This window comes from Homo sapiens, chromosome 5 (genome assembly GCF_000001405.40).
Source record: "Homo sapiens chromosome 5, GRCh38.p14 Primary Assembly".
Lineage (NCBI taxonomy): Eukaryota > Metazoa > Chordata > Mammalia > Primates > Hominidae > Homo > Homo sapiens.
In genome coordinates, this window is record NC_000005.10 from 75,044,565 (window position 1) to 75,058,940 (window position 14,376).

The window sequence follows — 14,376 nt, forward strand, 5'->3', positions numbered from 1 at the left end:
TGGCACAGGGCTGGATGATGGTAAGGGATCAAAAGCATTTGAAGCAGCCCAGTGTCATTGACCAGTGGCCATTCTGTAAACAAGGACTGGGCTTCAGCTTCAGCGTGCTGCATGCACTCCCGCACCCAGACACCATCTCCAAAGGCAACAGCCACGGATTTCTGCGGGGTAGACTGGTACAGAAACCACATCAAAGGCCTCCACGCTTCTCATGGTGAAGGAAGAATCAGACAAGGGCCCACTTGTACTATTTTTACAATTTTTCTTCAGGTTTGACATTTTTTCAAAATAAAAAATTGATTTTTTAAAAAAAGAATCATAGGGATAATGGGGAGAGGGCAGAATGAAAGAGCTCTAAGTCTCTGCCCCATATTAGGATTCAGGCAACACAGTTTTAGTAGCACAGTTTTGAATATTTTTTAGGTCTAGTGTCATTGCTGTCTTCTTGCTATAACCTATACTTTCCAAGTATTACCTGGTTCACTTCTTTGTTATAAAAATAACTTTTCTTGTTTCTTATTTATGAATTAGTTGATGAACATATTCTTTTTTTCTATTATGGTGGTGAAATATACATAACATTTACCACTTTAATCAATTTTAAGTGTACAGTTCAGTGGCATTAATTACATTCATATTGTAGTGCAACCATCACCACAATCCATCCACAGAACACGGTCATTTTCCAACTGAAACTCTATACAAATTAAACACTAACCCCACAATATCCTGCTTCTGGGCCCTGCCAACCACCATTCTACTTTCTGTTTCTACAAATTTGTTTACTCTAGGCCTCTATATCATAGGAATCATACAATATTTGTCCAATATTTGACTGGCCTATTTTACTTAACATGTCTTCGAGGTTCATCCATGTTGTAGTGTGTGTCAAAATTTCTTCCCTTTTTAAGACTAAATAATATTCCATTGTATGTATACATTACATTTTGGTCATCCATTCATCTGTCAGTAGATATTTGCTTTGCTTCCACCCTTTCAGCTATTGCGAATAATTCTGCTATGAACAAGGGTGTACAAACACCTGTTTGAATTCCTGCCTTCACTCGTTCAAGAATATCCCCTATATAAACCTTATATTCTTAGATATCCAGTTTCTATCCTGGTTGCCCATCCATCCCACAAACATTTACTGTGTGCCTACCATGTGCTAGGGAGGCACTGTGTTAGATTCTGGAGAGATACAACTAGAAACTCTACTGCCTGGAGGAATGCAGAGAGAAATAAACAGTGAGGTCCTAAGTGACTGATAACACAATTCAAGAAATCCCAGTTATTTTGTCACATTTGAATTTCTTTTCTATAGAAATTTTCCAGAAAAGACAGGTCACTAGCTAGCATTTGGAAATGTTTTTTTTTTACATTCAGGGATTTTCTTGCCATGATGTTGAATGGATGTTCAATTCAATGAATGATGTTCAATTCAATGTTCAACATCAGTTGAAATGATGTTCTTCCTTTCTGAGGATCTCTTCTCCAGTTCTGCATCCCATCTTTCAGCTCTACAATCATTCCATTAATGTTTTTTTCACATTGTAACTCTGCAACCTAATTAGTGTCTACCTTGTGTATCATTCCATTTCTTTCTCCTGACACATCTGCCATTATGTCTCTCTGAATTTGCCAACCTCAGAAGAGGGCAGGAGGGTTGCTGGAAAGGCTAAAGGAAGAAGGAACCTGGTAGAAGGTGATGGCTGGGCAGAGTGAGCTCCTCCTTGTTCCACTGAGGTAGAATGTGGGGGTGTAGAGAAAGGACACAGCACAAATATTGCAAATATGCTGCAGTGACACAGAGAGCAGGAGAAGGAAGAAAAAAAGGAGCCTTGGCAACCACAGGAACTCCGCTAGGTGTTGTTCCTTCTGGTCCTGGGCCGAACTGTCCCCCCTCTGCTTCAATCTGAAGGAGCTGCTCTCTCGTGGACTGTCCAGATCTTGTAGATGACCATGAGAAATGTCAGGGCTTGCAGACTCTTTGGAAACAGGTCTAACCTACCCAAGAGCAGACAGGCTGACTGGACAAGCCCGGGCACAGCCAAGAAGCAATTCTCCAAAGGGTCATCCTTGCCAGTTTTCTCCTTAACTAGATTAGAAACCAGAAAACCCAGAAAACCAACAAGAGAAGACGGGGTTGCACAGGGGAGGGAAATGAAAAGCAATAAAAGAGCTAGAAGCACAGAGGATTCCTGGGGAAGGAGTTAAAAATAGGCCACTCCAAAATACGCCACTCTGATATTGACTTTTGAGTTAACGGCACTTGCAAAATAGCAGGTACAAGACCATTCTGCCCTTCGTGCCGTTTCTTAGATGCAGGAGATGAAATCCTTAAGTGAAATGAGAAAGTTGACGGACAGTCTACTTAACAGTCTTATCAAGGACAGAAAGCTGTGGCTGAGAAAAATTTGTACAAACTTTGTTACACAACCCTTATCTTCCTAGCTGCTTCTCCCAGTTAACTACCCTAGCCCAGGCCTCTTTTTGCCTTGCTACATTTTTATAATTTCCTACTTTCTCCAATCCACTATATAAGTGTTCAATTCTCACTGCATCTCTGGGGCTTCATTTCCTTATGAGGGCTCCCCTGTCACATAAAACTTATATTAAATAAATTTGTGTGCTTGTCTCCTGTTGATATTTCTTAAGTCAATTTAATTCTCAGGCCCAACTGAAAAACTGTAGGAGTGCAGAGGTAAATTTTTGCCTTCCCTACAACAGAGATTTACTTGAGACTACAAAGAACTTTATTATCACCAGGTGTTTTTTCCATTTTATTTATTTATTATTGATTTGCTTACTATGGCAAGGGAGCACATGGCATCAAAAGAGGTTTGGAAGCATTTTGGAGCATCTTGGAGGAGGAGAGTGGCTGGATTTTATTGAGATGTTGAGGTTTGGTTTAAGGCTGGAATTTCACTGTGGGTGGGGTTTTGGGGGAGGCTTGACTTGGATTAGTTAAGGATAATGATACAACAGTTTAGGACTCCAGGTACTTTTTCATGCTCTAGAAACCACAGCTAAAAGCATTCCTACCACAAAGTTGTTCTGCCTTTTGCCTTTAAAAACAATTTTCTGCAATTATATTACCTAATTGTACTCCTCTAAGAATCATGTATGAGCAACATTTTAGGGTTTTTTTTTTAAATTAAATAACCTGAATCTCTTGGTTAAATCTAGACTTTAGCACAAAACTCTTAGGTTTTAGAGCTTGGGGGAGGTAGGTAAAGCAGAGAGAAATTACAAGGCACAATTTTTTGCTTCCTATTATTCTGAAGCTTCTGAATTCATCTTAATCTGACTATAAATAAACTGAAACTTACCTTTGTGTCACCTCCAAAGAAAACCCCAGGCTGATGGTATAAACAGCGTAGGGAAAGGAACATCACCGTCAGTTACTGAGGAGGTGCTACAGATGGCTGTACTGGGACAGTGACCGAGGATGTAGTTCTAGAACATGGGCCCTATAAAGAGAAACCATGTGCAGGAGGACTTTAGAATAACAGTAATTTAAATGCAAACAATGATTGCACTGATGACAACTATTCCTCTGATGTTAACCCAGAAGGACTGCAAAAGATGCCAAGTTTTTGAGCCTCATTAACTGTGAGGAAGGCCTCTAACAAAGATGCTCACGTTATTATTAACCCCTCAACCAGGATATCAGCACCCAAATTGGCAAAGGACACAAAGCTGAGACTCAGCTTATATGGAAAATAACAGAAATAGGAACCAAGCAGATTACCTGGATCTAGTAAGATAAATTTTAACAGAGAGAAGTACAAAACTAACACGTGCAAAAAATTAACTGTATTCGTTAATTGAGAACCCTGGTTCATGGAGAATTGTGGTTCGTGGAGAAACGTGGTTTGACAAGAGCATCTCTAGAGGACAGTTCAGTGTTTTGGCTGACCATACATTTGGCACGAGTCACAGTTTAGTTCGAGACTGTCAAAAGAAAGCAAAATGCAGCAAAACAAAAACAAAACCAAAACCATCGTGCTCCTGGACAGCATGCGAACCACAAAGCTGCAGAATGCGAAAGCTGAATGCAGGCTGCAAATCCTTGTTTCTATGAATAGTACCACCCAAAAAGGAAAGCATTTCCACAGTTTAGACCTTGGGACTAAGGAAGGGACCAACCCACTCTGCTCTGTACTGAGCAGACACCCTGAGAAATGAGTTCATGTCTGGCTACATCCCTCTGCTGGGTAGTAACTGATAGAAGTTAAGCAGCCCAGTGAGAAGCTAGTGACCACAAGACGGACCTGGAAAGGTTAAAGCTGAAGAAGTAATGACTCAATAGAGGAGTGAAAGCTGGCTCTAAATATTTAAAGAACTTATTAAAACACAAATTGCTGAGCCTCACGGGTTCCCAGGCGATGCTGATGTAACTGGTCCTGAGGCCACACTTTGAGAACCGCTGCTCTAAGTAACAAAATTGTAGTTTGTTTTTGTAATACTCTGTAGTTCTAAGATTCCACTAAGACCCGATGGCCTGTTTCTCAGTAAATCCACATTGGGAAGAATTTACTGGTTTTGAAGCCTCACACATTTGTGATTAAGATTGTTCTTTTTAACATTTCATATCGCTTAGCAGAAATTCAATCTTTCCTTTCTGCCCCTTAGTGTTTCTTATTAGTTCAGCTTCATAAAGCAGACTTCTGTTTCTGCTTCATTTTCTGGCATCTTATATGGTAGACATTTTTCCTCTGGTCTTCTTCCACTTTGCCTGTATTTTTCTGTTACGTTCAGCAGATCAAACTTCATAACATATTAAGTTGTGAGCTACCTTTATCAAATGATATCTGGCTCCCCACATCTAAAATAGTAAATACTGATCCAATCCTGTCTCCAAATGCCCACACTGAGCCCACCATCCCCAGAGATCTATTAGGATGGAAACGGCTGCATTCAATTCCTGATTAATTTTCTTTTCTCTTATATACTTGAAGCTTCAGTCTTTAGATCCCACTAGGAAAATTACAAGCATATGGGAATGCATATAAATGACATGCAAAGTAATGCAAATTAATACAAAACATACATCTCTAAATTGCTTGAGAAAAGTCTGTAAGCCTCAATGTTGATGTTATCTGCTTTGCTTCACTACACTCTGGCAAGCAGTGACTGGATCCCTTTATTACAGTTAATTTTATACAGCATCGAGCACCTGACACTTGTTGACACATTAAGTAGAAGGTGCCTTGCCTTGTGAGTCAGGCAAATCGGATCCTGGCCTTAACTTTGCCATTCCTTGGCTGTATGGGCTTGGACAGGTTCTCAACATTCTCTACGTTTCAGATTCTACAACCAGAAATGATAGAAATGGCATCATGATAATAAAACCACCAGCACTAAGGTTTACTGAGCACTTTATGTGCTTGCATAATGCACACAGGCAATCCTTACAACAGCCCACAAGGAGGTGCTGTAGAGCACGTACCCCTTAGGTGTGGTGCCGTTTCAGAGACCAGGAAACTGAGACAGGAATGTCAGGAAGCTTGGGCCTGGTCCTAAGCTAGGCAGTGACAAGAGTCAGACCCAGGAGCTCAGCAGTCTCACTGCGAGGCCTTGCTCTTAGCCATGCTGCATCTCTGTTGCGTGATTATCATCCATGTTTCTCCTAAACATTACATTTGTATGATCTGTGAAGTAAATCACTCGCAGTCACACGTGCTTTAAAACACTGTTTCTGTAAGATGTTGACAGTTTACATTACATGAGCTTGATATCAAAATACCATCGCAATCCAAGGGGGAGGGGATCCAGACATCCTGTGTGTTCAGCTTCTCCTTCCAACTCGCTCCATCGCATTCACATATGTCTAAGGCTCCCTCATCTTAAAGTACCTAGCCCTCCGTCCCACCTCTCACTCTGGGAGCAGCTTCCAGTCCTCAGACACCACCGCCTCGCCCCACCCCATCCACCCCAGGATTCAGACCACACCCCTCGTACAGAGGACCACCATCTGTGGAGAGTCAGCCAGCGAGTGCACTATGTGGCCACTAGGGAAGCCATTCCACTTAGGAGCCTCGAAAGCTGCCCAGACCCAATAAAACCAAACTTGTCTTTCCTCCTCCAATGTTCCCTGTTTCCGTAAATACCAGCACCCAAGCTTAGAGGGAGTCACGCTGCACTCTCACACCCTACACAAAACTCATCTGCTCTCACACCCTACACAAAACTCAGCCCCAGGTCTCTCCAGAGCCGGCCTTGAATCCGCCCAACGTGTCATCCCTACTGGCACTACCTCAGTCTCAACTGCCAGGCCTCCTGCACCCTCTGACCCAGCCCTGTCTACTTAGGGGCTCCTCAAGTCCATTCTCCACGGGGCAGCTGGAGTTTTGTTTTGCTTTTAATCCATATCTCATCTGCGTACTATCAGGTGTGAAACTGTCCTGAGGATCCACTCGCCACAATGCCCCTTGGCATCACCTGGCAGTGGTATCTGCTGGCCTCCCCGGTGCCATTCTCCATCCTCCCCTCAGGTCATACTGAACCTGTCTTTTCTTCCACCTCTCAGGCTCTCCTCTCCTCTGGTCTCAGCACACACCATTCCCGGGGATGGGAATACTCCCCTTTCTCACCTCTCCCCTCCCCCATGGCTGCTTAGTTTACACAGCTCCCACTCATCCTTGAGCCCACCTTCAGTCTCCCCAGCAAGGCCTCCTGCCTCAGCACAGATGCAGTGAGCTGCAGCACATCTGCGCCTCACAGCAGCCAATGCGCTGTTCACATTGGGACAGTTCACAGCCTGGTTCACAGCCAGTGCTCAACACAGGTGGCCTGAAGAACTCACTTTTCAGCCTTGCTTTGCTCATTTTTACTGTCTCACTGCTTTCTTCCCGCCTTGTAGCCTAAGAAGGAAATCCCCTGAAGCTGACTCCGTTTTACCTCTCCTATGTGGTGCTGTGATAAGCCCCAGGTCACCAGGTCATGCTCCCAGCACCCGTGGGTCAAGGATGAGGCAGAAACAGCACCGTCAGGTACAGGGCCCTCTACCTGCTCTCTCTCCCTCTCCCTTCCTAGAAAACAACCATAGGTCATTCAAAGTCAGTTTGGGAAGCACCTGTATTTATGGCCTGCTTATCTTGAAGGCACTTGGCCAGGTGCCATAAAGTGCTAACTCTGACTGCCCGACTATGCCATTCACCCCACCTACCTCTGTGCAGGAGATGTGACATTTAGCAAATCAGTATAAACTTTTTCCCCCAAAGAAAAGAGTATAAACCTTCTCATCCCACCACCACCCCGCAGCAGGAAACTCCTTTCAGTCTCCCCATAGAAAATTCAGCGGCCACACAGTTCCTTGGCTATTGTTTCTCTCCTGATACCAGAAAGAGATAAATCAACAACACATCTTAACTGGTCATTTCTCACACAAAATTGGATCCTTAGAAAGTGCAACATAGGATATGCTCTCTATAATGATTCACTTTTTCACTTTTAAAGATTTTACTTCCTTAAGAGACTATCAACAAAAGCTGTCAGAATGAACTGTTAGTTTCTAGAATGTTTTAGGCTTATTGATGCTTTAATAGGGACATGTTTTATGAATGCAAGATCAAAAAGGGCGACTTCTGTCTACTCACATGAGACAATTAAACGCATTATATTAGCCCCAACTCTGTTAATCTTCTGGTTTGTTGTTCTTCCATTTTTAAAGACAAAAAAAAAAAAAAAAAGAAAAAGAAAAAAATGAATTTAAAAAGTGCCCCAAGGCCAATATCGCCTCTCTGCCTGCCCAACGAGGGGACAATACACTGTTTCCCAGACTACGTGACTCGGAAAACTTCCCCGTCAGGGAAAGCTGAGTCTTTAAATTTACAAAACACCCACTCGCCCCGTTTACCTAGCACCGTTTCCTACGTGAAGACTGCAAATGGACTCGAGCGTCCCGTTTCTCGGCTCGGATCCCAGAAGCTCCCGACCCGCTGTGGTAGGCACCGCCACCTCGCAGGCAGACGATCCCGGCCCGCTCTGCGGCACAAAAAACTTGACCTTAAAAAGCCCAGAAACTGGTCTCTGGGAAGGGCGCGGCCTGGGAGGCGCGGCCCGCAGCTTCCGCCCCCAAAGAACAACTCGGAGGCCCCCTCCAGCCCCGGTTGCCCTGGCGCAGAAGCCGCGGTAGCAGTCCTTTCAGGCGCCCCGCGTCCCTGTCCCGAAGCCCAGGGGCGGGGGCTCGGGCAGCATCGCTTGTCCCCTCTGGTCCAGGGCTGCGGAGAAGCGGCAAGCGGCTCCGAAAGGCAAGCGTCACGAAGCCGGGCTCAGTAGCTCCCCCGGGCCCCCTGCGCCTCGCAGCGGCGCGGGCCAGGCTGGGCGGCGCTGGGCTCTGAAGGGCCAGGACGGCGGGATGCCCCTGCTCCCGGCAAGGGCGCGCCCACGAGCCGCTTCTTGGCACTTGGGGAGAGTCCCGGGAAAGCCCGGCGCCGGCGCGCTCGCGACTCCAGCCTGGCGGCTCCACTCCGCCCGCGAGCCCAGGAAGCCGGCTCCGCGGCCCGCGCCCGTTATCCAGGACACGCTCCGCGCCCGCCGCCCGCTGCCCTTTCCCCCCGCTGGCCTCGGGGAACTTCCCCGCGTCTGGCCGCAGGCGGCGGCTGCCGCGGGGAGCCCCGAAGTTGCGGCGTCTGCTAGGCGCGCGCCGGGTCGCCCACCCGGCCCGTGACGCTGTGTCCGTCCGCCGCGCGCTCTGGTGGCCCCGGGGCTCCTGCAGGCGCGGAGAGAGGCCGGGGTTCAGCCCGGTTCCCCGCGCGGCTCCGAGAGGGCGCCCCCGCCTGCCGCCTGGAGATGGACGCGGCGCCGAAGTTTTCCCCGGCGGGAAAACGAAAGTCGTGAGGAGCAGAGGGTCGGGGCGTCCCGGCGGAGACGAGGCTGAGACCGGGTTAACATCTCCAGCCCCGGGCGACCCTCGCTCCCCCGCGTGGCCAAGTCGACTTACGAGAGGGAGCGGGCCAGCCCCGAACGCGGGGTCCGTGCGGCTGCGGAGGCCGCCCCGGCGGGGGCCGAGGGTTGCGCTCTGGGTTCCCAGGCTCTCCGCGGCGGCTCGCTCTCGCCGCGCTCCTCCGTCGCCCTGCTGGGGAGCCGCTCTCGCCCGGCCCGGGGTGGGAGAGCGCTGAGCGGCCCCCGTGACGTGCGGAGAAAGTAGGAGCGCCTCCGCGCTCCCGCAGAGGGAGCTCCCTGCCCTGCGCTCCCAGTCCCCGGGCCGCGCTTCGGACAAAGTTCTCAGGCGCGCGCGGTGATCTCGGCTCTCCGCCGCTGCCCGGAGCGTCATCCACGTTCGGTTCCCTCCCACATTAGACAAGAAATCTGAGGTCAGGAGAGCTAAGTAACTTGCCCAAAGTCGCTCACAAGGCAGTGACGAAGCAAACTCACATCCGCGGCTCCTTTTTTCTCCTTGAACGCCGGGCTCTGCGGAGGCTCAGGCCCTGCAGGAATCGCCCAACCAGACAGAAGGCAGCTCGCTCTCATGGGTGAGACGAGGAGTGTCCCACGCAGCCGCGAGAAATATTATCAGCAGCGTGGGAAGGTGGAGCTTTTTGCCGAATAACTAGAGTGCAAAGTTGTTTTTCAAACAGTGCCTACATGCCAAATCGGCTTGCTTTTTATCCTCAAGCGAGAGTGAGGGTGGCGGCTGTGCGGACGCCAATCGGGATCACCGAATAAGTGCAGTGGAAAGAAAGCACACAGCCACTTAACCAATTGGCCGACATCAAGGACTTGGCCTTCCGAGCGGGTTCTTGTGAATATGCTAACTTTGTAAAGCGGGCGCACCACGCTGTGCTTGCTATTCACGCACTTCCAGGAGTCTCCCGCGAGGCTCCACGTCCTTTCGGGGCCGGGGGCTCCCAGGGCTTGCCTTTCAGGGCAGGGAGTGGCACCAGACAAGTCAATCCCAGTCGGTTTGTTCCTTTATCCCTTGCGTCAATCAGTGTTGACTGAGGGCCTGCAATGTGCATGGCTGTTGGGTGGGGAGCTGGGTAGGACCTAGGACCTAGGACCCAGTGAATCTCAAAGAGGGAGGGTCACATGGGTCCCCATATGCTTCACTCCCAGAATCTGGAATCTGCCCAAAGCAGTAGAGAGACTTTAAGTCTACCCCAGCCCCCACGCCTTTTTAAAAACTCCCTGTGTTCGGAGAGCAAGTGTTTTAATATTCGTTTTACAGACGTACTTTCAAGCAAATGGCCAGCTTTGCCTTCATTTTCTCCCCATGGGACCGCCTCTTTCTGGAATAATAATTTACACTTCCTGGGTCTCCCTCATTTGCACATGATGATGGCGATAGTCATGATGGTAAAAACAATTAAGGCTTCTATTATCCACCCTGGGCACTGTTCTAAGCAATTTATGCGGATTAACTCTTTCAATCCTCACAACTTTATGAGGGAGGTGCTATTTTAATTCTGATTTTACCGATGATGAGAGGGAGGCAGGTGAGGTGACATAACTTGCCAGTAAGTGGGTGGTCTGAATGGTGTCCATGCTCTTAACCACTGAGGTCTCCAAGACTGGAATTTAAAGGGACCACTAGCCATCATTAACCACAGCTTACACATCTCAAACAAGCCATGCTAGGAAATACATGCACTTCCTCCTAAAGAGGTCAATTTTATTATTTTGCGTGTATCATGTCATAAAGTGGATATCCATTCACTCACTTGCTCCTCTATTTCCAACTTCCAAATCAACTATTTTGTCCTAAAGCAAACTATTTCTTAAAAACCTATTCATCATAAAGTTTCCAATTTTTGTTTTGGATTGTTTTATTCTCAGACCATACCCAGCTGTTTCCCTCTCCTTTCTACTCACTGCCTTAAGTTACGCTTTTTTTTTTTTTTTTTTTTTTTTTTTTTTGTGAGACGGAGTCTTGCTCTGTCTCCCAGGCTGGAGTAAGGTGGTGCAATCTCGGCTCACTGCAACCTCCGCTCCTGGGTTCAAGCGATTCTCCTGCCTGAACCTCCTGAGTAGCTGGGACCACAGGCGCACACCAGCACGCCCAGCTCATTTTTGTATTTTTGGTGGAGACGGGTTTCACCATATTGGCCAGCCTGGTCTCAAACTCCTGACCTGGTGATCTGCCTGCCTCGCTTCCCAAAGAGCTGGGATTACAGATGTGAGCCACTGCGCTTGGCCAGGTTACTCTCTTTCATCCCTTAAAAACTTGTTGTAACCGGCCCTGCAGGTCTTCTGAAAGTGGGTTGCCCAAAGATGGTAGTGGCCCCAGAATGGTCTCTGCCACATTGTAAGCATGCTCATTGTGCTCAGCATTCCTGTGTTATTCTCCTAGGACTGCCTAACAAATACCACTGACTGCACAACTTAAAACAACAGAAATGTATTTCCTCATAGCTCTGGAGGCTGGAAGCCTGAAATCAATGTGTTAGCAAGGCTGGGATCCCACTGTGCCCCCTCCTAGCTTCTGGTGATTGCTGATAATTCCTGGCATTCCTTGGCTTGCAGATGCATCATTCCAGTCTCTGGCCTTTTCCTGTGTGTCCTCTGCAAACACATTTCCCTCTTCTTTAAGGATATTGGTCATTGGACATAGGGCCCACCCTAATCTAGTATGACCTCATTTTAACTTGATTACTTGGCAAAAACCCTATTTCCAAATAAGGTCACTTTCACAGGTTCCAGGTGGACATGAATTTTCAGAGAATGCTGTTTAACCTGGTGCAGTCTCCAAAAGTCATTGTTAATAAAAACATATTGCCTGAGCTAAGGATGCAAAGAGGTGTAAGTCACAGCCCCTGCCCTCCAAGAAACTCTAGTTACAGAAGTAGTCCTTGCACTGAGAACATAAAGACAGGCGTCACTAAGAGCCAACTAACTGAAGCCAAATGAAAATCTAGGGACCAAATGGCAGCTGTACACAAGGAATTCAGCCAAAGGGGCACATTCACTGAGGATACGGCTGCAAGACTTCACTCAAAGGTGAGGGTGATTCAAACACATCTGTGAGGGAAAAATTGAAAAAGCAAAGAGAAATAAGGAGAGCTTCTCAGAAACACAGCTCCAAGGGGAAGAGCATGCTGGCAGAATTTTGCTTCTTGAGTTTCATGCAGAAATGAAAGACTGAAGGGATGCAAATACCTACCATCCTGAGTATAAGAACATGGTGAATTACTCTTACTGTACTAATAGCATGCTGTAATGCTATAACAATTAGCATGCTTTAAAGTGCTCTCTTCACTGGGCACAGTGGCTCATGCCTGTAATCCCAGCACTTTGGGAGGCTGAGGCGGGAGGATCCCTTGAGGTCAGGAGTTTGAGACCAGGCTGGCCAACATGGCAAAACCCAGTCTCTAGTAAAAATACAATAATTAGCCGACGTGGGGTCGGGCACCTGTAATCCCAGCTACTTGGGAAGCTGAGGCAGGAGAATCGCTTGAACCTGGGAGACGGATGTTGCAGTGAGCTGAGATCACTTCACTGCACTCCAGCCTGGGTGACAGAGTGAGACTCCTTCTAAAAAAAAAGAAAAGAAAAAAAGTGCTCTCTTCTTTCAGTAATTTTATTTGATCTTTATGACAATCCTGGGTGTCATCAGAGAAAGGGACATCATATTTTATAACCAAGGATCCCAAGGTTCAAACAGTCAAGTAACTCGCAAAGGTCAAACAGCAAATCATTTATAGAGTTGATATGAAGCATATTTGCATGGATATTCCTCAGTTAGGAATGTCCCCATGATGTTGGCTCGTGGGCCAGCCTTCCAGTATTTATTGCATTGTTTTTGGTCCAAAGAAAGCATTTAAAGAAAAAGAGAATCCTGCAAGAAATGGAAAGTTTTTCTAACAGCTACGTGAATCTCAAACTGGAATTGTGAAAAACCTTCCCCAGACATCTGAACTGGTTTCACTAAACCTTCAGAGGATTTGCAAGTGTATTGAAGTCTCCTTTAGGCCTTCAGAGACTTAATAGGATCTAGTGGGCTTCTGCAGAACTTCGCTGATTATCTTAAAGAAATAGGGGTTGAATGAAACTTTGAGGGCACTCAGAACACTGAGAAGTTGAGGGGAAGCTGAGTAAAAAACAAGAAATTACATTACAGGATGGTATGCCAGCAGAAATTGACAATTAAAACTCAGTATCTGATCTCACCAATGTGTAAAGTTATACACAGACGACCAGATCATGGCATGTTTTGAAAATTTTCTGATAAGAATCTGCAACTATGACTAGCAACGGAAAGCAAGCAGGAAGTCTAGTGTTGGGCTGAGTATCTGATGATTTAATGTGTTTCCCTGGATTTTCCTTTGCTTGGCAAGCAGGTAACTTGCTGAATCTTCTGCTGGCTATCTTTAAAAATATATTTAAGCTTGAAATGCTTTTGATTCTAGTGTGATTCACTGAGTCTTGGTTGTGCATAGTGCTACACTGGTTGCTATGGGAGAGTACAAAAATATAAAAGACAGCTCCTGACCAAAAGAAAATCTCATCTAATTCAGGACACATGAGACATATAGAATAAAAATTATATAAGTGTGGTTGCAATGGAATTTGTAAGCAGTTATTACTCAGTTCACTGTTCAGATGTGACTTCTTGAAAACAGGCCCTCCTTGGCTACTCTTTTTAGAACAACGGCCTGTCCCACCTCCACATCACCTGTTGGCCTTTTTCCTGCTCTGTGGTCTTTATGACACTTATTACTATCTGAAATTAAATTGTTGCTTGTTTACTCTGCTCCTAGACATACTATCTCTGAGGGCATGAGCTTTATCTTATTCTCTGCTGTATTCCTAGCACCTAAAGAAATGTTGGGAACATATTAGGTGCTCATTAAATGGTTGTTAAATAAATGAATAAAATACATATTAACCAACTGAGAATGGACTAAGATAGCTTGGATTAATGCTCCTCACATTTGCCTGATAAGACTCATCTAGGCATTTGGAAAAAAATTTGCTGCAGGTTCTGATTCAGTAAGCCTAGAGTGGGGCTCAGGAATCTATAGTTTTAAGACATATCCCAGGTGATTCTTTTAATAGGACTGTCTGGGAAACGTGCATTACTACAGTAATAGAGGGTTGGTGGGAAAGAAAAGTGAATTGATAACAGCAGGTTGCAGAGGTCAGTGGCTGTTCATTGTAGTTATCTGGAGGAGATTTTAAAAATACTGATACCCACTCCAGACCAATGAAATTAGAATCTCTTAGGTGGGGGCAAACTTGGGCAGGGTATTAAAGCCCAAGGCAGAGCCCTCATGATGTAATCACCTCTTAAGGGTTCCGCCTCTCAACACTGTTGCATTGAGGATTAAGTTTCCAACACATGAACTTTGGAGAACACATTCAAACCCTAGTCCCTGGGACTACTGATGCTCAGACTCATTCTCAAAGATTCTGCTGTATTCGATATAA

The 14,376-nt window shown here is 46.4% G+C and overlaps 1 protein-coding gene across 14 annotated transcripts in view, besides 4 other annotated features; it reads right to left on the reverse strand.

The window, feature by feature from the left end:
* GCNT4 (glucosaminyl (N-acetyl) transferase 4) overlaps positions 1-9,496 on the reverse strand; it is a 37,092-nt gene extending 27,596 nt beyond the window's left edge. For 4 of the 14 annotated variants that reach the window (XR_007058605.1, XR_007058606.1, XM_047417273.1 and 1 more), the window contains exons 1-2: positions 8,951-9,496; positions 3,333-3,473 (exon numbers count right to left, since the gene is read on the reverse strand). The gene's annotated coding sequence lies outside the window, so the exon portion shown is untranslated. Of the gene's footprint in view, positions 1-3,332; positions 3,474-7,604; positions 7,664-7,864; positions 7,995-8,950 lie in introns of those variants that run through there. The other 10 variants (NM_001366737.1, XM_047417277.1, XM_047417272.1 and 7 more) reach the window with 8 other exon arrangements.
* Positions 8,241-8,490: a silencer, noted in NCBI's record as "silent region_16098". NCBI's record gives its function as "represses an Ori minimal core promoter by ATAC-STARR-seq in GM12878 lymphoblastoid cells {active_cell/tissue: GM12878}" and the evidence as "EXISTENCE:reporter gene assay evidence [ECO:0000049][PMID:35858748]".
* Positions 8,711-8,760: a silencer, noted in NCBI's record as "silent region_16099". NCBI's record gives its function as "represses an Ori minimal core promoter by ATAC-STARR-seq in GM12878 lymphoblastoid cells {active_cell/tissue: GM12878}" and the evidence as "EXISTENCE:reporter gene assay evidence [ECO:0000049][PMID:35858748]".
* Positions 8,881-9,250: a silencer, noted in NCBI's record as "silent region_16100". NCBI's record gives its function as "represses an Ori minimal core promoter by ATAC-STARR-seq in GM12878 lymphoblastoid cells {active_cell/tissue: GM12878}" and the evidence as "EXISTENCE:reporter gene assay evidence [ECO:0000049][PMID:35858748]".
* Positions 11,096-11,686: an enhancer, noted in NCBI's record as "OCT4-NANOG-H3K27ac hESC enhancer chr5:74351485-74352075 (GRCh37/hg19 assembly coordinates)". NCBI's record gives its function as "activates a minimal SCP1, AML or CMV promoter by ChIP-STARR-seq in primed H9 embryonic stem cells {active_cell/tissue: H9 hESC(primed)}" and the evidence as "EXISTENCE:reporter gene assay evidence [ECO:0000049][PMID:30033119]".